This window comes from Homo sapiens, chromosome 2, assembly GCF_000001405.40.
Source record: "Homo sapiens chromosome 2, GRCh38.p14 Primary Assembly".
Classification (NCBI taxonomy): domain Eukaryota; kingdom Metazoa; phylum Chordata; class Mammalia; order Primates; family Hominidae; genus Homo; species Homo sapiens.
In genome coordinates, this window is record NC_000002.12 from 200,939,350 (window position 1) to 200,964,098 (window position 24,749).

A 24,749-nucleotide genomic window follows, 5' to 3' on the forward strand; every position below is an offset into this window, starting at 1 on the left:
CCACTGCAGAAAATTCCTGCTCAAAAAGACAAGACTAATAAATAATTTTTTCCTACTTGCTATAGAACATTTCTGCAAACTAATCTCTCTTGACAGTTTGCTCATTTGGGCAAACTGTTCTCCCTATCAGGACAACAGATTACTCCTAGGGCAAACAGCTTATCTTATCAACAGTTTAGTTATCAAGATACACTTTAAGACACGATCTTCACTGTGTCTACCAATCCTAAAATATCATGTCCCTAACTTTGCCCAATCCCAATCAGTTTACCATTTTGAAAAACCTGCTTTAAGCCACTTGAGCCCAGGATCCCCAAGCCCGATACATATTTTCTCTTGAACTTGCTTTTCTAAGACAGTACACTAAGATTCTGTCACAACGATGTTGTCTCTTATTGTGATAGGTAGCTTTGTTTCATCAACAGGTTTTTCTGGTTTTTTGGGAGAGTTGACAATATCTTCTAATGGGTTATAATCTATAACTTGAGAAAGAATAATCTAAATTCTTGATTAGATTATGGCAATGAGTTTTTTTCCTTTTATAGTGATAGAACACACAAGACATAAGAAAAAAGCATTATTAAAGACAAATGAAAGTCTGGCATGTCTAATCCCATACCTAGACTTGTCTAAATAGGACATTCCTGCACAGGCCATAACCATGGCCTTAAATGTCTATACTGACTGTGGAGACAAAAGTTACTCCATCTTGGATGCTAATCCATCACGTTAACTTCTGATTAGCCCCAGTCTCATGAATGCCTCCTGATTCCTACTTTATGTACTGCCTTCTGTGAAAGAACATGTCAACCTTGATATTATCACACAAATTACTGGCTACAATGCATATAGCATTCTTGCCCTCTTGACAATTAAAGAGGGTTGCCTTTAATTATCTTGCTGGAACATGTATACCCTTTCCTTATGGTAGGTAAGCCGTGGGTCTGGGGAGTAACACTGCAGAGAGCTACCTGTCTTGTGGCTGCCCAAGACCATGCTTCTGTCTCTAATAAAATACCCTTTACAGACAAACTAAACTTGTCTGCCTTGTCCTTTGGTTTCTTGGCTCCTTTGGCATTTGGGGGATGCTTTGCATATATGGCCCTTTCATGGAACACTCACCACTTGAAAAGGCATAATGAGAAAATTATACCACAAAAACACAAAGGAGGCCAGGCGTGGTGGCTCACACCTGAAATCCCAGTACTTTGAGAGGCCCAGGTGGATGGATCACTTGAGGTCAGGAGTTCAAGACCGGCCTGGCCAACATGGTGAAGCCTTGCCTCTACTAAAAATACAAAAATTAGCCAGGCGTGGTGGTGCACACCTGTAATCCCAGCTACTCAGGAGGCTGAGGTGTAAGAATCACTTGAACCTGGAAGGTGGAGGTTGCAGTGAGCCGAGACCACGCCACTGCACTCCAGCCTGGGCGACAGAGTAAGACTCCGTCTCAAAAACAAACAAACAAACAAAGAAAAAACCCCACAAAGGAGGAGATAAAAATATAGAGTAATGGATCTAATGCATCTTGGGATCAAACTGCACAACACTGCCCTCTTCCCCCTGCAAAAGAAACAGAACATGATACATAAAAGCAAAACCCCAAACATTTTCAGGCCAGCTACACACAGCAGAAAAAGCACAACAGTTGGGTCTGGGAGGCCTGGCTTCATTTTCTAGCTGTTCTCCTTCCTAGTCAAGTGAACTCACACAAGTCACTTTACCTCTCTGAACCTCAAATTCTCCACCTATAAGTTAGGTATTTAACTGCCAAATATCTGTAAATTACAAAGCACTATATAAATTAAGAGATCAATTTTTTCATTGAATTTCTGGCAATTTTTCATCATGTCTTACTTTGTAACACTAAGGCTTTTGCTTTTTAGTCAATTGCTTACCTTCGGTTGAACCTTGTCTGAAGCAGAATGGCCTAAAGAATGAAACAAAAAGCCATGACTTACTACGGACACTTCACTTTTCATTGTGGTCTAGTTTCATTAAAAGTAAAGTTTGCCAGGCATGGTGGCTCACATCTGTAATCCCAGCACTTTGGGAGGCAAGGCAGGAAGATTGCTTGAGGCCAGGAGTTCAAGACCAACCTGAGCATCATAGCGTGATCCTGTGTCTATTCAAAAAATTAAAAATTAAAAAAAAAAAAAAAAAGCAAAGTTGCAGCTTCTACATAGAAGCCACCACATTATTACTGAATTATAAATTAATTCCATCTCCACCGGAGGATTATCACTATTAGTTTCATGATTACTCACATTTTTAACAGCTACTTCCTGCATTTCTGTAGCATTCTAACAAGAAAAACGGAGCCCTTTTAAATTTTGATTATTGAAAAGTACAACTGTCCAGGAGCGGTGGCTCACGCCCGTAATCCCAGCACTTTGGGAGGCCAAGGCAGGAGGATCGCTTGAGGTCAGGAGTTAGAAAACAGCCTGACCAACAGGGTGAAACCCCATTTCTACTAAAAATGCAAAAATTAGCTGGGCATGTTGGCAGGTACCTGTAATCCCAGTTATTCAGGAGTCTGAGGCAGGAGAATTGCTTGAACCCAGAAGGCAGAGGTTGCAATGAGCCAAGATCACACCACTGCACTCCAGCACTCCAGCACTCCAGCCTGGGTGAAAAGCGAGACTCCTTCTCAAAAAAAAAGAAAAAAAAAAAAGTACAATGGAGCCAGACACAATGCGGTGTGCTTATAGGCCCTGTTACACGAGAGGCTGAGGCTAGAGGATCACTTGAGCCCAGGAATTCAAGGCTTTAATAGTGTGCTGTAATTGTGCCTGTGAATAGCCAATGCACTTCAGCCTGGGCAACATAGCGAGACCCTGTCTCTAAAAAATGAAAAAAACAGAAATGTCGGCAAGTGACATTGGTGTTCAAAAACAAAAACAAAAATATAAATAAAGAGCAACGAAATGTACACTTTTTAATCTAGTTAGAATGGATCATTCAAAAACAGCTGCTCCACAATCTGTAAGACTTCCAAACTCCAAACGCCTTATTTCATATAGTATTTCCCAAAGCCAAATCTTCTATAAATAATTGGCTAACTCAAGCACATGACAACAGGACTTAAAGACTATTTCTGGTTAACCCTGTCAATTTGCACAACTTCAGTTAGCACAGATATTTTTCCCTCTTACTGACTGCTAAACACGGGTATACTAAGGTACATGAGTTGAAATATTAATTGCATTTTGTTGAATGAATTTTCAGAAAAGAAGAAAATATATATAAAAATTCACAAACAAGGAAAAAAGTAACATGCTCTATCTTGAAGCAACTATGAAAATTCTTTTCAAAGAACTAATGTAATGTCTTACCCTTGCTACTTTGAGGAACGTTTATCGTAATCTCAGGATCATTCTTCAAACTGAATGAAACACTTTTTTGTGGTGTTTTTGCTAGTTCTGAAGCTGTAAACAAAGAAATATATAAAAACCTTTTAAAGGACAACAGTAGATAAAGAGGGAAATAACCTTATTACGCTTACAAAAATTCTTTAAAAACCTCTGTTACTTTTATCAGAAAAATAATCCTACCCATATTAGGAGTAATACTGCTTTCACCTTTATTAGCTGTCTTCCCAGAATCTTCAAATTTTCCTTCATATTACCCACAGATTTCTTTAAAAGAAAATACAAATAACTAACTTTGACCTTGCTGCTTTCTCTAATTACCATACTCTCCTCTCCATCAACCACTTATGTTCCTTTCATTTCTTACCATATATAGTTGAGGCACATCTTTGATGGGGGGTGAGAAAGAAGGGCCAGAAAGTGAGATCTAAAATCAAGTGAAAACTGTGCAGAGTTAAAATTATACTTTAAAATCTTTTAAATCTTCCATAAAGTGTGAACAGTTTATTTTGTGCCAAAAAGTCTATAATACATATAAATAATACATAAAATAGAGTGTTGAACAGATGGCCATTTCTTCAACCGAGAATAAATGGAATAGTGGTCTTTTGTTTAGGGGCCATTTTATTTTTACTTTAACAATTTTCTTTCTCTCGCTTTTTTTTTCTAAAGACCAAAGACCAAATCACTTATAATAGAGGCCATTTTAAATAAAAAAATATAAGTGTTATCTTTAATGATGCTCTCACACTCACACCATGAGAGGCATGTGGAAAATGAACCCAAATGAAGAAACAGATTTACCTTTTCCAAGTTAACTCTCACACTGGGACACTGTTCACTGAGAAAAAGGGCACATACCAAATTAACTGCTTTTTTGCTTTTTTTCTCTAAATGGAGAAGGTGTAGTTAAATTTGTACAAGTGAAAGCCATTTTACTGGCTCCTAAACCTTTCTAACCTGCCCCCATTTTTATCCTCCAGTCTTGAAACTGACCCAAAATACTCATAACAATCTCTACAAATGAATTGGCTGCTTCTTCTTCCTTAATCCCTTCGGTCTTCTATATGATTCACTAAGTTTTTTTTTTTTTTTTAATCTTCCCTTGATATTAATTCCTCCATTTGAGTCTTATGACATTATCCTGGTTCCCAAGCTACTGGTTGTGGTTATTTCATCTCTTCTTCACTGTCCTCAGCCTCCTCAACATTCTAGGCATACTTAAGGCTCAGTCCTTGCTCTTCTCTTTATGTCATTTTTGGATTAAAGGCTGATTCACAGGATAGGGAAAAAACTTCATATGAAAAGAAGCAACAAAAGCAACTTAGCTGAGATCATTTTGGTGTTATACTGAAACATAAAAATGCTCCACCTGATTTTAAATAACTATTAAACTACAAAGGAGCCAGGGAGAAAAGAATAAAAAGGAAGAATTGAAGAGGATTAAGAACAAGATAGTCTCTTTTTTTTTGAGATAGAGTCTTGCTCTGTCGCCCAGGCTGGAGTGCAGTGGTGCGATCTCAGCTCACTGCACCCTCTGCCTCCCAGGTTCAAGCAGTTATCCAGCCTCAGCCTCCTGAGTAGCTGGGATTACACATGTGTGCCATCATGCCCACCTAATTTTTTGTATTTTTAGTAGAGCGGGGGTTTCACCATGCTGGCCAGGCTAGTCTCAAACTCCTGACCTCGTGATCTGCCTGCCTTGGCCTCCCAAAGTGCTGGGATTACAGGTGTGAGCCACCGCGCCCGGCTAAGATAGTCATTTTTGTGAGCACACAGAGATAGGCAGACATTCCAACACCTCTTGGATGACTCAACATGTCTAATAAGCACCAGGCACAATGCCTAGTACAAGTACCTGTCGCCCAGGAGTACACTGGCGTGATCATGGCTCACTGCAGCCTTGACCTCCTGGGCCCAAGCAATCCTCCCACCTCAAACTCCCAAATAGCTGAGACCACAGGCGTGCGCCACTATGCCTAGCTAATTTTTAAATTTTTGTAGAGACTGGGTCTTCCTATGTTGCTCAGGCTGGTTTCAAACTCCTGGCCTCAAGTTCTCCTCCCGCCTCGGCCTCTCAAAGTGCTAAGATTACAAGCATGAGTCACCACGCCCAGCGGTGAATCACTATTTAACACATAACTTTGTGTTTAGTTATGACTATGAATGGCAAAAAGTTACAGTGTTTCTTTATGTCAGGGGTCAGCAAGCTATAAGTCTATGGGGCCAAACCCAGCCTTTCCACTTGTTTTAAGTACAGCTTTATGTAGCCACACCATCCATACGTATTGTCTGTGGCTGCTTTTCAGCTACAACAGCCAAGTTCAGTAGTCACAACAGAGACTGTCTAGCTCACAGAGCTGAAAATATTTACTGTCTGGCCCTTTACAGAAAAAGCTGGCTGACCTTTGCTCTGTATTAATCATCTACATGCACACTTTCAATGCATGTGTACAGTTTTTATTCTTTTCTTGCTCCTATGTCATATTTGTTTTTGATGATATTAAATGAAATGTAATGGCATGGCTGTTGACTCTATTAATAGAAAATTAGACCTGGACATGGTGGCTCAAGCCTATAATCCCAGCACTTTGGGAGACCGAGGTGGGTGGATCACTTGAGTCTAGGAGTTCGAGACCAGACTGGGCAACATGAAGAAACCCTGTCTCTACAAAAGAATAGAAAAATTAGCCAGGTGTGGTGGCGTGTGACTTTAGCCCGAGCTAAAGGGACACTGAGGAAAGGAAGCTGAGGCAGGAAAATTGCTTGAGCCTAGGACATGGAAGTTGCAGCAAGCCAAGATTACACCACACGTTCCAGCCGGGGCAATACAGTGAGACCCTTAAAAAAAATTATGATATTATTTGTGGGCTTGCAAAAAAAAATAGGGCATAAATTTTGTATCTTTATATTCATTATTCTATTAATTCATCTGTATTGTATTTTACACAATAAACTGGTCTCTGTCTAATGATAGCTTTAGATTAGTCTATTATCTGGTCCTATCTAACCAATCTATTTTCTAATTTTTTTAAAAAGATACTTATTTTCTTTTACCTCATTTATATTTATCTGCTCCTCTGTTGATGAACATTTAGCTTGATTCCATATCCTGGATATTGCAAAATAATACTGCAATGAACACGGGAGTGCAGATATCTCTTCGACATACTCATTTCATACCCTTTGGGTATATATCTAGTAGTGGGATTGCTGGATCTCAATCTATTTTTAATTTACCCATTTATTTCTCCAGCCTGACTGAACTCCTCACTTTCTTCTCTACCTGGTACTTCTACTTTTGCTCTTTTGTTTACATTTATTTTCTTACTCTAGATACATTCTCTGTATTTTACAAAGCCTTCCTATCTAACTTATAGTCTATTTCTAGCCCTATATCTTGGTTAGCCCAATTATATGAAAATCTATTTTTTTTTTTAATTTTTTTTTATAGAGACAAGGTCTCACTAGGTTGCACGGGCTGGTCTCAAACTCCTGGGCTTAAGTGATCCTCTTACCTTTTCCTCTCAAAGTGTTGGGATTATAGGTGTGAGCTACCATGCCTGGACAAAATCATCATTTATACTCAGAATAACATATGATTTTCTGGCAGATCATGTTATTTATTAAATATTAAGGCATTCTATTTTACTGATATATTTAGATGTAAACACAATTAGCAACAATACTTAATGAGTCAATGAAATTCATTAAAGAGCATCATAACTAAACAAAGATTATAGAAAGTCTGATCAGTCTGTTAAACTGCGTTCCTGAAATTTCATGGTCATAATAATAAAGACGAAATATCTATAAAACTATCTTCTCATGACTTTAAAATGTGTATTTCTTTCAGATATGATGACAGAAATGCGCAGAATGAGGATAATATTCCAGTTTTATGCAGTGCTTACAAATACAACACATTATCATCTTTAAGTTATGAGCATGCTAATTCTCCAAATGGAGAACTACTACTTGATTACTCCTGTGAGTTCTATTTCACTTTACAATAATAATTCTCCTCTTTCTCCAGTGGTATTTCTTTGTCCTGCACCATTGTCCTAGGGTTTCATTTTGGTCTTGCTGTCTACTTTATCTTTCTAATTATTACATCAGCATTTCTTCTCTGGTTTCTCAGTGCTCCTATACAGGATTCAGTCATTTTTATAGATTTAAAAACTTAATTTCTTGTTTTTTCAGATGGAGTCTCTTTCTGTCACCCAGGCTGGAGTGCAGTGGTGCAATCTTGGCTCACTGCAACCTCCACGTTCTGGGTTCAAGTGATTCTCCTGCCTCAGCCTCCCAGGTAGCCAGAATTACAGGTGTGTGCCACCACACCCAGCTAATTTTTGTATTTTTAGTAGAGCTGGGTTTCACCATGTTGGCCAGGCTGGTCTTGAACTCCTGACCTCAAGTGATCCACCTACCTCGGCCTCCCAAAGTGCTGGGATTACAGGAGCGAGCCACCGCGACCAACCAAAAAAACTTAATTTCTTGATGTAGATAATAAATACTAAGAAACACATCAATTAATGTAAATTATTGTATGTACCATGTTATGTTCAAAATCAGTAATGTATTTAATGTTACACATTTTAGAAAAACTAAACTGATTTTGGCAACTGATTAACTTATATTCAGAAATACAGGTTTTATAATTACTTCTCATATATTCCTCATCAGTGTCAACATTTAACATATTTTATTTTTACTTGACCTTGAATGTTTACATGTGTCATTGGCTACAGTGATTGAATAAAAACAAACCACTGAAGAAATATCCATAGGTGTTTTATAATTATACGTTATAAGCCCTCTTTTTCAACTATTACATTTACCAGGTGGATAATTATTATACTTTTGTTCCTGACTTTTTGGTATTTCCAAACTTTGTATTTATATACCTTTATAATTTTCAAAGTGCTTTCACATATATTATTTCCCTTCCTTACTGCTTTCAAAAATGATGACCCCCTCATACCACAAGATCGAAATACAGTGCCATCTGATTTTTTTGTTTTTGTTTTTTTGAGACAGGGTTTCACTCTGTCACCCAGGCTGGAGTGTAGTGGTGTGATCATGGCTCACTGCAACCTTGAACCCCTAGGCTCAAGTCATCCTCCTGCTTCAGCCTCCCAAGTAGCTGGGACTATAGGCATGTACCACCATGCCTGGCTAATTTTTTAATTTTCTTTTTTTTTTTGAGACTGAGTCTCGCTCTGTCGCCCAGGCTGGAGTGCAGTGGCGCGATCTCGGCTCACTGCAAGCTCCGCCTCCCGGGTTCACGCCATTCTCCTGCCTCAACCTCCCGAGTAGCTGGGACTACAGTCGCCCGCCACCACGCCTGGCTAATTTTTTTTTTTGTATTTTTAGTAGAGACGGGGTTTCACTGTGTTAGCCAGGATGGTCTCGATCTTCTGACCTTGTGATCCACCTGCCTCGGCCTCCCAAAGTGCTGGGATTACAGGCGTGAGCCACTGCACCCAGCCTAATTTTTAAATTTTCTGTAGAGACAGGGTTTCGCTATGTTGCCCAGGCTGGTACTGAACTACTGGCCTCAAGCGATCCTCCTGTCTTGGCCACCCAAAGTGCTGAGATTACAGGCATGAGCTACCATGCCTGGCCTGAATTTTGAAAAATAATTGACAGTTTAATTTTAAGGTTATATGTAATTTATTACAGCTTAGTTCTCTGAAAATCAGCAACTGAAGTGTTAATTGGTATAGGTGGTAACTCAAGTAAGAAAAATGTTAGAAGACCATTACTAATAACTTTATATAAGCATTTTTCTGTAATATAAACAACATTTTTCCATATACAGGGTAAAACTCTGGGTTTTTTTGTTTGTTTGTTTTTTGAGATGGAGTCTTGTTCTGTCACCCAGGCTGGAGTGCAATGGCACAATCTCGGCTCACTGCAACCTCTGCCTCCCAGGTTCAAGTGATTCTCCTGCCTCAGCCTCCTGGATAGCTAGGACTACAGGCACGTGCCACCACGCCTGGCTCATTTTTCGTATTTTTAGTAGAGACGGGGTTTTACCATGTTAGCCAGGCTGGTCTCAAACTCTTGACCTCAAGGGATCTGCCTGCCTCCTGCCTCAGCTTCCCAAAGTGCTGGGATTACAGCCGTGAGCAACCATGCCCAGCAAAACTCTTATTTATTAATCAATTCAGAATATCTCTATGTGATTCTCACTTGTTACTTCAAAAAAATTTGTGAAGAAACTAAGCTATGGCCGGGCATGGTGACTCATGCCTGTAATCCCAGCACTTTGGGAAGCCGAGGTGGGTGGATCACTTGAGGTTTGGAGTTTGAGACCAACCTGGCCAACATGGTGAAACCCCTTCTCTACTAAAAATACAAAAAAATTAGCCGGGTGTGGTGGAGCACACCTGTAGTCTCAGCTACTCAGGAGGCTGAGGCAGGAGAATTGCTTGAACCCAGGAGGTGGAGGTTGCAGTGAGCCGAGATTGCACCACTGCACTCCAGCTTGGGCAACAGAGTGAGACTCCACCTTTAAAAAAAAAAAAAAAGAAACTAAGCTACATATTTTGGAGAGGACTAAAGAAAAACAAAGACTGTGCACATACTACAAGAAGCTTATAATCTAGCTGAAAACAGAAGACATCTGAGCATGAAAAAAACAAATGAACTTAATTGTGCTTAATATAACATCCTTCTTTTAGGGAACGTCTCATTATTCCCTAAACCATAGGGAATCTCTCTTCATTCTTTTAGGAAATGTAGTGGTATAATAATCATGGGGAATGTGGTTAAATCTACCTTAGGAAAGATGAGTAATAGTTATAGAAATCAGAAAAGCAACATACCTAATTTAGCCATCTTTTCAGAGTGTTTTCTATTCTGAAAAGAATAAACTTTATTTCCACCACCTGTAGCAGAGCCATTTTTCAATGATTCTGAAAGAAAAAAATGCAATATACATTTAGGAAAAAAGAACAAAATTAACAGAAAAAAATTTTAACAAAAAAACTTAAGATTTGTACCCCTCATAGCCTTGCATAAAGATTTAACTATATTTATATATAAAATATTTGGAAATACATAGTAAAGAAAACAGGCTATGAAACTGTTTATATAAGTTTTAACATGCTATTCAAAGATACACAGACATCTATGTAAAAATACAAAACCATAGCAAAACCCCAGATTAGAGGGATATGCATTCAATTCCTAGTAACAGTTGTCCCTGGGAAGGGAGGACTAAAGGGAGTTTTTTGGTTATATTTATTTTCTGAAGCAAAGATGAAAAGTACAATTGTTGAGGTTGAGATTTAAACAGCTGTTTTATGGTAGAAGCTTTCTTGGCCGGGCGCAGTGGCTCACACCTGTAATCCCAGCACTTTGGGAGGCTGAGCCAGGTGATCACGAGGTCAGGAGATTGAGAGCATCCTGGCTAACACAGTGAAACCTCGTCTCTACTGAAAATACAAAAAATTAGCCGGGCATGGGGGCACATGCCTGTAGTTCCAGCTACTCAGGAGGCTGAGGCAGAAGAATTGCTTGAACCTGGGAGGCAGAGGTTGCGGTGAGCAGAGATTGTGCCACTGCACTCCAGCCTCGGTGATAAAGTGATAAAGTATCAAAAAAAAAAGCTTTCTTCACAGATCCTGACTTAACTGACATTCTTCAATCTCCTCTTTAAATATCAACTGCTACCTACAACACAGTGAACATTCATTTCTAGTATCCTACTTTCTATCACAGCAATTTCCAACATGTGGCCTGAGGGTTGCTAGGATCCCTGAGGTCAAAATTACTTCGTAATAATACTAAGACATTAATTAACTTTTGACTCTCAAACAAGAGTGTACAGTGAGGTATGCCAGAGACGACATGATGTGATAACAAGTTACCATATTGACTAATGGAATGCGTGAAGAAGAAAATCCAGTTGCCTTCAATGAAGCCAGACATTAAAAATAGAAAACAATGCCCTCCTCATTAAGTTATTGAAAGTTGTTTTCATTTAAATATATGTAATTTTTGTCAATACTTAATGGATTTATTAGAAAATGGTGTCAAACTTTCCAAAGTGTGTGCTCATCCTCCTTATTAAGCTTTCCTAGTGATCTGTATTTCCACCAACGCTTGGTTTTATCCAAACTCCTTAATCTTTGTCAAACAATGGGTATAAACTGAAGAGAGGCGTCTTAAATTTGTATTTCCTTAATCATTAATGACACTGAACATTTTTTTACAGGTTTCTTCTCAGAAAAAATATCTTCTTTACGCTGTGGCTTGTCTTTACACTCTTTTTATGGTGTCATTTGAAGGAAAGTGCTGGTTTCTTATAAAATAGACTTTACACTAGTCTTTTTACTGTCTCCACAGTTTTGCATTTTCCAGAATGTCATATAGTTGGAATCATACAGTATGTAGCCTTTTCAGATTGGCTTATTTCACTTAGTAACATACTTTTAAGGTCCTTTCATATCTTGTTCATGGCTTGATAGCTCTTTTTTATTTAAGTGCTGAATACTCCATGGTCAGGATGTGCCAGTTTGTTCATCCATTCATCTACTGAACGACCTCTTTGTTGCTTCCAAGTTTTGGCCATTGTGAATGAAATTGCTATAAAGGTCCACCTGCAGGTTTTTGTGTGGACATAAGTATTCAACTCATTTGGGTAAATACTAAGAAACATAACTACTGGATTATATAGTTAGAGTATGTTGAGTTTCATAAGCAGCAGCACAGCTGTTTTTCATGGGGCTGCACCATTTTGCATTAACTAGAGATAAATGAGTTCTTGCTGCTCCACATCCTAATCAGTATTTGGTGGTATTCGTGTTTTGGATTTTGGCTATTCTAATAGGTGTATAGTGGTATCTCATTTTGTTTTAATTTGCAATTCCCTAATGATATGATATTGAGCATATTTTCATATGCTTATTGGCCATCTGTTTATTTTCCTTGGTAATAAAGAATAAAAATAGATGGCAAATAAGCATATGGTATCTGTTCAAATACCTATTTGCCTATTTTTTAATTAAATTGTTTTCTTATTGCTGAATTTTAAAAGCTCTTTGTATATTTTGGATTAAAAGTCCTTTATCAGACATGTCTTCTGCAACATTTTCTTCTAGTCTGTAGTCTTCTCACTTTCTTGAGAAACAATGAATTTTAATTAGTTGAATTTGTCAATCTTTTCTTTTGATTACATATTTTCTAAGAAAACTTTCTGTAATCAAGACCAAAACCATATTCTCTTATATTTTTGTCTAAAAGCATTTACAATTTGCTTTTCATGTTTAAATAATTAAGGTAATTAATCTGTTTATAAAGGGAGGTAGAGGGCCTTTTTTTTAAAATGGGAATATACAATTGTCCCATCACCATTTACTGACCAGTTCATCACTAGCCCAGTGATCTGCAATGCTACTTCTACAGTATATCTAGTTTTCATATATGCACAAATCTATTTATGGAGAACTTGTTACTGCAATGATAGAACTACAACTAGAATATATAATTAGAATATAGAATGTATAACTATATATTTATATAATTTATTTATTTATTTATTTTTTGAGACGGAGTCTCACTCTGTCGCCCAGGCTGGAGTGCAGTGGCACGATCTAGGCTCACTGCAAGCTCTGCCTCCTGGGTTCATGCCATTCTCCTGCCTCCACCTCCCGAGTAGCTGGGACTACAGTCGCCCGCCACCACACCCGGCTAATTTTTTTTGTATTTTTAGTAGGGACAGGGTTTCACTGTGTTAGCCAGGATGGTCTCGATCTCCTGACCTCATGATCCACCCACCTTGGCCTCCCAAAGTGCTGGGATTACAGGCATGAGCCACCGCGCCCGGCCTATATAATTTATTTTTGTCTGAATGTCAAATATAGACAAAATATAAACTTGAAAAAGTTATTAACTAAAACAACTGGTTTTAAATAAGGTGAGAATGAGAAACTGTAAAAGATTTAAGAGAAAATTTGAGAAACATGAAAGCCTACTACACTCAGATAGCATCAAAAGTATCATTAAGTTATCAGTTTATTGGAAGAAAATGAAACTGGAAAATTCCAGTTGATGCATTATGGATATGATAGCTTAAAAATTAAAAAAAAAAAAAGCAGGCTGGGCATAATTGCTTACACCTCTAATCTCAGCACTTTGGATAGGCTGAGGCTGGCAGATCACTTGAGCCTAGGGGTTTGAGACCAGCCTGGTCAACATGGTGAGACTCCACCTCTACAAAATATACAAAAACTAGCCAGGCATGGTGGTCCGCACCTGTAGTTGCAGCTACTCAGGAGGCTTAGGTGGGAGGATCACCTGAGCCCAGGGAGGCTAAGGTTGCAGTGAGCCTTGATTGTGCCACTGCACTCCAGCCTAGGTGACAGAGTGAGACCCTGTCTCAAAAAAAAAAAAAAAAAAAAAGGCAATACTGTTCAACCAGCTGATCTCCAACAAACTTACATTCAAAGACTCAAGTCCTACATCAAAATCAATCACTACTGCATTAGTTACACTAATAAAAAGTTACAAACAATCCAAAAGTATAATATAGAAAACCACACATTATTTATATATTAGAATGCAATACTACTAGCTATTACAGTTCTTTTTGTCCGAAGACTGACCTCTGAGAATTTAACGATATGTTAAATTTAAAAGAAAATAAAACCACCGCCTCATATCCATTAAAAGGGCTACTGTTTTTTTTTTTTTTTAAAAAAGGAAATAGGTGTTGGTAAGAACGTGGAGAAATTGGAACCCTTGTACACTGTAGGTTGATATGTAAAATGGTGCAGCCACTGTGCAAAAAGTATGGTGGTTCCTTAAAAAATTAAAAATAGAATTAGCACATGATCCAGCATTTCCACTTATGGGTATAAACCCCAAAGAATTGAATGCAGGGTCACAAAGAGGTATTTGTACACCCATGTTCATAGCAGCATCATTCGCAATACCCAAAAGGTTGAAGCAACCCAAGTGTCCATCTACAGATGAATAAATTTCAGTTTTGTACAATGAGAAAAGTTTGGGAGATTGGTTACAAATGGTGTGAATGTACCTAATGCCACTGAACCCATACACTTTAAAAATGGTTCAGATGCTAAGCTTTTTTGTGTGTGTATGAGATAAATTCTTGCTCTGTCACCCATGCTAGTGTGCAATGGTGTGATTGTGGCTCACTGCAGCCTCAACCTCCTGGGCTCCAGTGATCCTCCCACTTCAGCCTTCTGAGCAGCTAGGACTACAGGTGCATGCCACCACGCCCAGCTAATTTTTGTATGTTTTTTGTAGAGATGGGATTTGGGATTTCTTTCTTTCTTTTTCTTTTTTTTTTTTTGAGATGGATTTTCACTCTTGTTGCCCAGGCTGAAGTGCAATGGTGTGACCTTGGCTCATTGCAACCTCCATCTCCCGGGTTCAAGCGATTTTCCTGCCTCAGCCTCCCGAGTAGCTGAGATTACAGGCACCCACCACCACGCCCAGCTAATTTTTTGTATTTTTAGTAGAGACACGGTTTCGCCATGTTGGCCAGGCTGGTCTTGAATTCCCGTCCTCAGGCGATCCACCCGCCTTGGCCTCCCAAAGTGCTGAGATTACAGGCATGAGCCACTGCACCTGGCCAAAACTAAGTCTTTAGGAAAATGTAACTATGATTAAATAGTGTAATCTGTATAAACTTTAGGAGGATATTTGGCAATACATGTCAAAACTCTTATTGTAGAAGAATGTCTAATGACAGAGTAATGTATATATGATACATTATTAATTGCAAAAAGTCTATTTATAAACGTAATGGTGCAAGCTTATGTGTGCCCATGCATGTATGAACAGACAGAAGATACACACTGAAATGTTAACGGTTCCACGTTCTCTAAAGCAGGCATTCTTGACAGGTACAATACATCTCCCAATTGGGTAAAACTGGATCTTGGCACAGGAGGGAGTGTGGAAAAAAGACTTTGACATTATTAATATAATAGTCTGTGGCCCTCCAAAGCGTCACAGTACATAAACAGATATACAGCATATATGTAGTACTGAAATTTTTAGGGTGGGAAAAAGTGATTAGGAGAAAATGTCTAAAAAGGCTAATTAGGGGTCAATAATTTTAAAAAGGTTGAAAAACATAGGGCATGATGCCAAAAAATAAGGCAAAGTTCCCCAGTGTGAGGAATGAATGAATGAATGAATGAATAAATAAATAAATAAATAAATAAATAAATAAATGGTATGGGTTTCATATGTGCTGAGTACTGATTCTCTCAGGCCTTTGAGGATGCCAATCAAGGCCAGTAGCAGGGGTAGGGTTAGGGCCCTGGGGTATTTGTCCTTGGTCTGCAGCATCCTCTTCTATTTATTCCATTGTGCCTCCAAATATCATTTGCTGTGAGTGCTGTTATGTGAGAAAGGTTGGAAGCACTGAATTTCTACAACAAACATACTACTTTTTTAAGAGACAATTTTTATGATAAAAGTTTCCTTTGTGGAATACTGTTATCAATCTCTTCTTAGGCCTGGCATAATAGGGAGTCAAGAACACCAAGTTTTATTTAGAATATGCTCAAAAAATGTCAACTGTCTAGCTGTGGACACATAGGAGACCCTACCCAGCCCACTAAATCTATTGAGGAGCAGTGGTCATTTTTTGTATAACTCTATACATGGAGTATATGACTCTACCCCCATAGTTAATGAACTATGTAATTATGTTCATTAATATAATAAGTAATAGGCACAGATAACTCAACTGTGATTCATCTGTGGATATTCCAATTATATGCTATTTCTATGTCCAGATTTTAAAAATGAATTGAGCTAAATTGACTCTTGAGAATCTAGAATGGGAGAACTGAAAAACCAAATCACTTAACACTGGGAACTTGATGGACATTTATAAGTATGTGAGAATAAAACACATGTACATGAAGAAAATATGTGGCATAGAGAAATCAGAACAGATGCACAGAGATGACACAGGGAGACCTGGAGACTCATGAAAGCACAGTTCCTCAGTTTTTAACACTGTCCCAGTTCCAACTCTCCTAGTACCCAACAATATTGATTTCTTTCCTTTGTCATTATTTTTTTAAGCTAGGTTGTGGGGATCTGTGTTCCTTGTACCCAGGAAAAACCTAACTAAAATATAATTCGAACCTAAAAAAATGTTTTATGTTAAGAATAATCTTGCAGGAATCTGGCTTAGATGTAAAAATTAAAACCACACACATAATACCAGCATCCCTGGGTTAGAACACTACTTCTTGAAATGCTCCTCCTAGTTCTGTAAAGATCAAGGTAAGAATAAAGTAACTTGCTTTAGAAAGGTATTTTAAATAAGTTAAAAATATAAATATCTTTTTTTTGTTCTGTTTTGACCTAGGGTCTCGCTTTGTCACCCAGGCTGAGTATAGTGATGCAATCACAGCTCACTGTAGCCTCAACCTCCTGGGCTCAAGCAATCCTCTGCGTTAGCCTCCCAAGTAACTAGGACTACAGGCACACGCCACCATGCTCAGCTAGTTTTATTTTTTTTTTGAGACAGGGTCTCACTCTGTTGCCCAGGCTGGAGTGTAGTGGTATGATCACGGCTCACTGCTGCCTCAACCTCCCAGGCTCAAGTGATCCTCCCACCTCAGCCTCACTCATAGCTGGGACCACAGGTGTGTGCCACCATGCCAGGCTAGTCTCAAACTCCTGGACTCAAGCGATCAATCTGCTTTGGTCTCCCAATATGCTGAGATTACAGGCATGAGCCATCACACACCCAGCTTCCAGCTAATTAAAAACTTTTTTTTTTTGTAGAAACGGGATCTTACTATGTTGCCTAGGATGGTTACAAACTCCTGGGCTCAAGCAGTCCTCCTGCCTCAGTCTCCCAATGTACTGGGATCACAGGCGTGAGCCACCATGTCTGGCCATAAATAAATACCTTAAAAATAGTACTAGCTACTCAGGTGGCTAAGTTGGGAGGATCTCCTGAACCCAGAAGTTGGAGGCTACAATGAGCTATGATTGTGCCATGGCATCCCAATCTGGGTGACTGAGCAAGACCCTGTCTCTAAAATAAATAAATAAATAAATAAATAATCTTGAAAATAACTTTAGGAGTACTATGCAGCCATAAAAGGAATGAGATCATGTCCTTTGCAGGGACATGTATGAAGCTAGAAGTCATCATCCTCAGCAAACTAACACAGGAACAGAAAACCACACACTGCATATTCTCACTCATAGGTGGGAGTTGAAAAATGAGAACACATGGACACAGGGAGGGGAACAACATATGCCACAGCCTGCGGGTGGGTGGAGGGAGGGAGAGCATAAGGACAGACAGCTAATGCATGTGGGGCTTAAAACCTAGATGATGGGTTGAAAGGTGCAGCAAACCACCATGGCACATGTATACCTATGTAACAAGCCTGCACATTGTACACATGTATCCTGGAAAAATTTTAAAAATAAAATAACTTTAGAGTGGTTGGTCTATAGATTCCTTCTTACTGAAAACTATGTGCAGGACTGGTTGTTAAAAAAAAGAACTATGGAGAAATTGAAGCAAATGCTTTTTAGATGAGAAACATGATCATATAGAACACCACTGTTTAACCTACCAGACTACTTTTGTGTATCCTATAAAGCAATTTCTGCTACTAGCAGAAACGAGTGTATATTTCACCCCCTCAAATACCTTGAACATCTCTTCCCATAATTTCCACATAGTTCTGATCTTTTAAGACCTCCTGGTCATCTTCCTCCAAATCATATTCTGGCTTCTTTATTATTTTTTTGGGGTTGACCAAAAGCTGCGCTCGCTCCTTCTTCAATTTAGCTCCTATAAGAACATCCAAAGAAATAGAGCATGACAGGTATAAATTCTTTCTAAACATTACATTTAAATAAGAAATTATAATATTTATATTGTCATTACTTAAAAGCTGGGAAAAAAGCTTTCTCTTTGATTAAAACTGACCACTCTGACCACTCTTCCACAGTTTATATAGTTAAAAAAAAAAACACACACAATCTTGAAAGTATATATTTTTAGGGTTCAAAATAACCACATATTTTAAATTACAATGGGTAGTTATTAGTGACTACCACTCCTGGGCATTTTGTTTTATATTAGGCTTTACTGAACATTTTCAATTAAAGTTTGAAAGAATTAAACTAAAAATTAAAGCAGTTTTTATTTAGTTTTACTAACCAGATCAATCCTTTGCGCTATATTTTCAAAAGAAAATGTTAAAAGTTTTAAAAGTGAAATAATCCATAAACATTATAATAAGCATCTCTTCAAATTGTACAATCACTTAATACCTCCTTCTCTATCTAGAATGTGATTAAGAACATCATCATCTCCCACAAAGTGAACCTCCAGCATCTTGTCTTCCTTTAATTCTGGTTTACTCATTGTTGCCAACCTAAACAAAAACAGTAAGTTACTCAAAAGTGATGAAGAATTCATATCAACCACCAAATTAAACATTCACATAATGAATACATGTCTTTATCTAATATTTTTAAAGTCTTTTTAAGTATAAAAAATACATTATGCATTACTGTATTACTACATATTCAACTGTAGGTAACTCAATTCTTTATCTAAAAAATTGGGGAGGCAAAGAGATTCTGAGATTTGAGAAGAGCTAAATCCAATCAAGGTAGCTAAAATATACTCAGAAAAATAAAATAAAATATTCTCAGAAAAACAATTTTAAGTTTTAATGAAAGCTCTAACCAATCCAGATAAGCACATTAACAGAAAGGGGGTGGTTAATACATGAGTGTTTAGAAAAGTGACAGCCAAACAAAGAATAATGCTTTAATGGATTTTATTATCTGTTCACTAGAAAGCTACAGTCAATTGTGGGGAGTCTGTTAAACTTCACTTGTGTCCTAAGCCTGGATCAAAAAACCCTCAAGCACCTCCCTTTACTTTTATGGAATGCTTACCAAACAACTTTACAAATATGAATATGGCTTTCTAGATATCTTGGTAACTAAACAGTAAACACAAATCTTTCGAACACTTTACACTCAGTTCCTCACTGAACAAACCTCCAGAGTTTGGCAAGCAAAAGTTTGATCAACTCTGGCTAGTCTCACAAAATGAACTTTCAGAACTTACTATGCTACTGGCCTGAAAATAACTAATGATGATTTTAACTGCTGCCAGCTAATCAGTTTACCCAAAAAATGTAAACTAAGATTCAGTGTTCTTGGTGATTTCTTTTCTCTTCTCTCTTTCTTACAATCTTGTTTTCACCTTTTCTTTTGGCAGGAGAAACTATTGACTGTGTCTCTCTTTTCTTTCTTTTTTTATTGAGACAGGGTCTCACTGTGTTGCTGCAGCCTCAACCACCTGGGCTCAAGCAATCCTCCCATCTCAACCTCTGAAGTAGTTGGGATTACAGGCACATGCCACCATGCTTGGCAGGTTTTCCTTTTTTTGTAGAGATGGAGCCTCACTATGTTGCCCAGGCTGGTTCTGAGCTCCTGGAATTAAGCAATTTTCCCACCTCACCCTCCCAAACCTCTGGGATTTACAGGCATGGGCCACCACCACAGTCATTTATCTCTTCTGAGTTCATTAACTGCAGGAAGAAAACTAATTCAATGTTACCAAGTTTTATTTTGACAAGCAACATGCTTAAATGACTTCTTTCAGTTTTCATTTACCTTTTAAGGTACTACACATTCTGCAGCTGCAAAATTCAGATACAGTCACCTGTAATTGGAAAAATAACTCAGTCAGGGTCAGCTAGCAGAAAAATGAAAGCAATGGGGCAAAAACAAGTTCCACAAGTTTTAACAAGCATGATGAATAGATACATGTAGACCTTACAAAGCCAAAGCTGTTGTAATGGTATAGTAAAGGACAAAAAGACCATTACTGATTTGGCTAGGAAGCCCTAGATACTGAGAACATCTGGATGGAGTGGGAAGAGAGGAGGACAAAATTTGAGCACTTACATTGTGCTAGACAGTTTTGAGTACTCCATATGTATTCTCATTTAATCTGCACAACTCTATGAGGTTCATACTTTGTGTATAAAGATAATAAATAGTGGGCTGGGTGCAGTGGCTCATGCCTATAATCTCAGTGCTTTGGGAGGCTGAGGCAGGGGGATCCCTTGAGGCCAGGAGTTGAAGACAAGCCTGGCAACAGTAAGGCCTGCCTCTACCAAAAAAAAAAAAAATTAGCTGGGCGTAGTGGCATGTGCCTATAGTCTACTCGGATTGGGCAACAGAGTGAGACTCTGTCTCTAATTTTTTTTTCTTTTTTTTTGAGACAGGGTCTGGGCTCTGTCACCTAGAGCAGTGGTATGATCTTGGCTCACCACAGCTCCAACCTCCTGGGCTCAGGTGATCTGCCCACCTCAGCCTCCCATACAGCTGGGACTACTAGCTTCTGCCACCACGTCCAGCTAACTTTTGTATTTTTTGTAGAAATGAGGTTTCACCATGTTGCCTAGGCTTGTCTCAAACCTTTGGGCTCAAGCGATCTACCCACCTCTACCTCCCAAACTGCTGGGATTACAGGAGTGAGCCACCACACCAGGTCAAAAAAATTTTTTTAAACAACAACGACAACAAAAAATTGTGGACTTGGCTGTGATATGAAGGAAAAATTTTAAAAATAAAAATAAAAAATAAAGATAATAAATACTTCATCTATAACTTATGACCATTGCTTGTAAAACATGTCCTCTTGGGCCATTTTTCTAGTCATAATACTGTTTCCTATTATGGGGAAACTGGGTGTATTAGAGAAAAAGTTTAACCCATTTATGTAATATTTGTATAAAATAAAGCAACAGGTTTTTTAAGGGGCTGTTTGTGAGGCACTGTATTAGGCACATTTATGTACACCAGCTCATTAAATCCTCAGATTCTCTGACTTAGGTATTTTGCATCTCTCTCTTTATATATATAATGTCCCCAACTTACAAATGAGTAAACTGAGGTCAACTCATTAAATATTAATAACTCATTGAATTATTAATGCAAATACACACAATTATAAATCTATTAGGGTTGAAATTCACTTCGGACTGATCCTAACTTCTTCTTTTTTTTTTCTAAGATGGAGTCTGGCTGTGTCCCAGGCTGGAGTGCAGAGGCTCAGTTTCAGCTCACTGCAACCTCCGCCTCCTGGGTTCAAGAGATCCTCCTGCCTCAGCCTCCCGAGTAGCTGGGACTACAGGTGTGCACCACCACACCCAGCTAATTTTTGCATTTTTAGTAGAGATGGGGTTTCACCATGTCGGCCAGGATGGTGTCGATCTCTTGAACTCGTGATTGGCCCACCTCAGCCTCCCAAAGTGTTGGGATTACAGGTGTAAGCCACTGCACCTGGCAGATTCCTAACTTCCTGACCACTCTATTACACCACATACCTCTCCTGCCATCAAATAAAAATGTTATCATAAATGCTTGGTTTTTTTGTTGTTTTGGGTTTTTTGTTTTTGTGGGGTTTGTTTTTTGAAACAGGGTCATTCAGCTCTGTCACCCAGGCTGGAGTGCAGTGGTGCGATCTCAGCTCACTGCAACATCTCACCTCAGCCTCCTGAACAGGTGGGACTACAGGCGTGCAATGCCAAGCCTTGCTAATTTTTGTATTTTTTTGTAGAGACGGGGTTTCCCCATGTTGCCCAGGCTGGCCTGAGCTCAAGCAATCTGCCCACCTCAGCCTCCCCAAGTGCTGGGACTGCAGGTGTGAACCACTGTGCTGGACGCTAAATGCTTGTTTTGACCTCTGAAAACCATTCATAATAGGTCTAATTATTTCTCTACATGTCAATTAGGGTTAGGGTATTCTATAGCAGGTAACTATAGAATGTCCAAACTGGAAAGTTTCTCTAACTTTCCAGTTCATTGGGTGAAACATCACTAGTTCTATCAAGCATACTTCAAAGAGCATGGCCAGAGTCAGCATAATCTACATTATTTTACTTAATTATACACTGCTGTGTACTACAAAGGATTTGAAGCAGTGACAATGAGCAAATGCAATAAAACAAATTATAATTTATAAATGCTAATAGGGAGTCTGCATCAGAAAAAATATAAAGGAAAGCAGAAAATAAAATCACACAATGAATTTTTGGCTCTGAGCTTCCTGGCAATCAAAGCAAAAAGCAAGTAAAGGTCGGTTACGTAATTCTTATTGGCAAAAGTTTAGTTGTTCTTGGGGATGTGGGGACAAGATTTTCTAGGAAAATTTAAAAACAAATATTCTAGGCAACTGAGTATTGTCCTAGGCAATTTCCCTATGGTATTCTACACAAGAATTGCCTGGAGAGAGGCAGCCTGAGACTTGTTTGTAGCCAAGTGCATTTATACAAACATTTCCTTTTCTAATTTTGGAGCATCTTATTAAATAGTACAAAATCACCAAATTAAAGAAAATGTCTACAAAGACCTCATGAGAAACGTTTCCTTCTTTGCTTTCCAACAGTTCCTGAAAAACAAACGAACAAAAAAACCTAACAATCACACAATAAAATGCAATATTTAGTGACCATTATGACCCCTCAAGGCACTGCCTTGGTGCTTATAGGCCAACCCCTTTCAAGGAGTTACTTCAAGGCAATTCTGCAGCACCAAGTGTTAGCATTGCACCAAGTGGTAGCAACACACTCTCCTTTGAAAACAAATAAAAGATTTGCTGTAATTTTTAAAAACATAATCCTTTGAAAAAGAAGGTTGGATAGATTAGTGGTTAAACACCAATTTTAATATTGGAGAAACCTGAGTTCCAATCTCCACTCCATACTTTATAACTGTGTGACTTTGTCCAAAGTCCTGACGATTAAATGAAATGATGTGCCTGATATATAAAAGAGCATCACTGAATGCTCCCAATTATCGGTATTTTTACTTTAACCTTTTTCTTTTTTAGCTCCTTACTGCAGTGCACTGAGATATTTTTACTTTAAACTTCAACTTAACCATGCAGATCTCTTGTACATCTCTAACTCATTCAACATCTAACAGAAAAACTGCTCAATAAGTGATGATGTCCGTTTAACGTGCAGTGCCCTTATATAACGGTGTAGGGCCGTGCTATTTTTCTTCAGATTGCAATTTAACTGCGGGAAAGTGTAATGATTCTATTAGGATTTCAATTGTAAAATGAAAAGTAACGTCTCAACATCTTTTTAATTAAAAAGCTCTACCAAAAGAGCCTGGCTTATCAACATTTTACAGCCAAGCATGGCTCCAAGGTGACCGATCAGTTAGCTGGCAGGACACATTGGTGCCTCCAGGCTGGGATGACATCAAAGGTTCTAGCTACAGTGGTTCTGGGACGCGATCTCTTCCTCTTCATACCTCACAGGGCACTTTACCACTGTCGTTACACATCTTCACAGTTCTCCTTTTCCAACCAGAGGGCTTCGTAAGCTGGGAATCAGGTAGGTTAGTATCAGGCGTCCCTTGCACAAAAGGCCTATAACTGCGGGGCAGACTAACGAAAGGTCCTCCCAGAGTGAGCCTCTCACCTCAAGTCTTAAAGGACTTTGGCCTGCGCCTCCAGCCTCTGGCCAGTTGGCTGCGCTCCACCAGTAAGGGTTCTCGAGCCCCCGGGCAGCCTGCGGGGGGCAGCGAGGCGCAAAGACCATGCCCCAAGTGCCGAGGGAAAGTCCTGAGATGCGCGACTTGGGACGCTAGGGGCCAAGCTCCGACGCGGGGCTGGGTGCACCTGGACGCACCTCACACGCCGCGAGCTAAGCAGAAAAGGGAGGCAGGCTGCCCCGACACCCCACTACTCACCGCTAGGTTTCCGTCTGGCGCCGATCCGGCTGCGTCACGCCGGCCGAACGACACCCCGCTGAGTCGCCGCCGCAGGGAAGGTACCTTCGGCCCCAACGGGAAAAGCCAATTTCCAGTAATTCGCGCCCGACCACCGGGGAGGTAAGGAGCACCGGAGGCCAGCTGGGGGATGGGAAGCCTGCGTGCGGCACACCGAATCTCCCGCCCTGTTCAGGGGGCGGTGCCCGAGGAAGCCAATAGGAAGAGGAGTCGGCCAAGAGCGACGGCTCTGCCGTCCAGTCGGCGCCGGCCATTCGGCCCCGCCCATCAGGAAACCTGAGGAAAACGGATTCTTGGGCCCTGAGTTGTGGGCCTTACCTTTCCTTTCTTCTTTCCGTTTCCGGGGAAGGGAAAAGGAAGTGTTGTTTGGATCTGAGGAAGTTTGCACAGTAGCTGGCTGAGTGGTAGCTGTTTGTCTTGTAGCAATCTTTAAAAAGTGTTCTTTGGGGTCGGGCGCAGTGTCTCACGCCTCTAATCCCAGCACCTTGGGAGGCCGAGGCGGGCGAATCACCTGAGGTCGGGAGCTCGAGACCAGTCTGACCGACATGGAGAAACCCCGTCTCTCCTAAA

The 24,749-nt window shown here is 39.4% G+C and overlaps 1 protein-coding gene and 1 long non-coding RNA gene across 12 annotated transcripts in view, besides 2 other annotated features; one reads left to right on the plus strand and one right to left on the minus strand.

Annotated features, from left to right (window-relative positions):
• ORC2 (origin recognition complex subunit 2) overlaps positions 1-24,311 on the minus strand; it is a 54,684-nt gene extending 30,373 nt beyond the window's left edge. For 4 of the 10 annotated variants that reach the window (NR_033915.2, XR_002959301.2, NM_006190.5 and 1 more), the window contains exons 1-7: positions 24,141-24,311; positions 20,043-20,091; positions 18,681-18,784; positions 18,052-18,195; positions 10,205-10,294; positions 3,336-3,428; positions 1,899-1,930 (exon numbers count right to left, since the gene is read on the minus strand). Coding sequence is in view for 8 of the 10 variants with exons in the window: in NM_006190.5 (NP_006181.1) it covers positions 1,899-1,930; positions 3,336-3,428; positions 10,205-10,294; positions 18,052-18,195; positions 18,681-18,774 (453 nt within the window). In the remaining 2 variants the exon portion in view is untranslated. Of the gene's footprint in view, positions 1-1,898; positions 1,931-3,335; positions 3,429-3,738; positions 3,799-10,204; positions 10,295-18,051; positions 18,196-18,680; positions 18,785-20,042; positions 20,092-23,699 lie in introns of all 10 variants that reach the window. The other 6 variants (XM_011511252.4, XM_047444570.1, XM_011511253.4 and 3 more) reach the window with 5 other exon arrangements.
• Positions 23,544-23,613: an enhancer, noted in NCBI's record as "active region_16969". NCBI's record gives its function as "activates an Ori minimal core promoter by ATAC-STARR-seq in GM12878 lymphoblastoid cells {active_cell/tissue: GM12878}" and the evidence as "EXISTENCE:reporter gene assay evidence [ECO:0000049][PMID:35858748]".
• The window catches only part of LOC105373835 (uncharacterized), a 55,639-nt gene continuing 54,972 nt past the window's right edge, over positions 24,083-24,749 (plus strand). For both annotated transcript variants that reach the window (NR_187976.1, NR_187975.1), the window contains exon 1: positions 24,083-24,281. This is a non-coding gene — a long non-coding RNA (uncharacterized LOC105373835). The remainder of the gene's footprint in view (positions 24,282-24,749) is intronic.
• Positions 24,322-24,720: a silencer, noted in NCBI's record as "fragment chr2:201828394-201828792 (GRCh37/hg19 assembly coordinates)". NCBI's record gives its function as "represses an EF-1alpha promoter that drives an FKBP-Casp9 reporter gene in an ReSE screen in K562 erythroleukemia cells {active_cell/tissue: K562}" and the evidence as "EXISTENCE:reporter gene assay evidence [ECO:0000049][PMID:32094911]".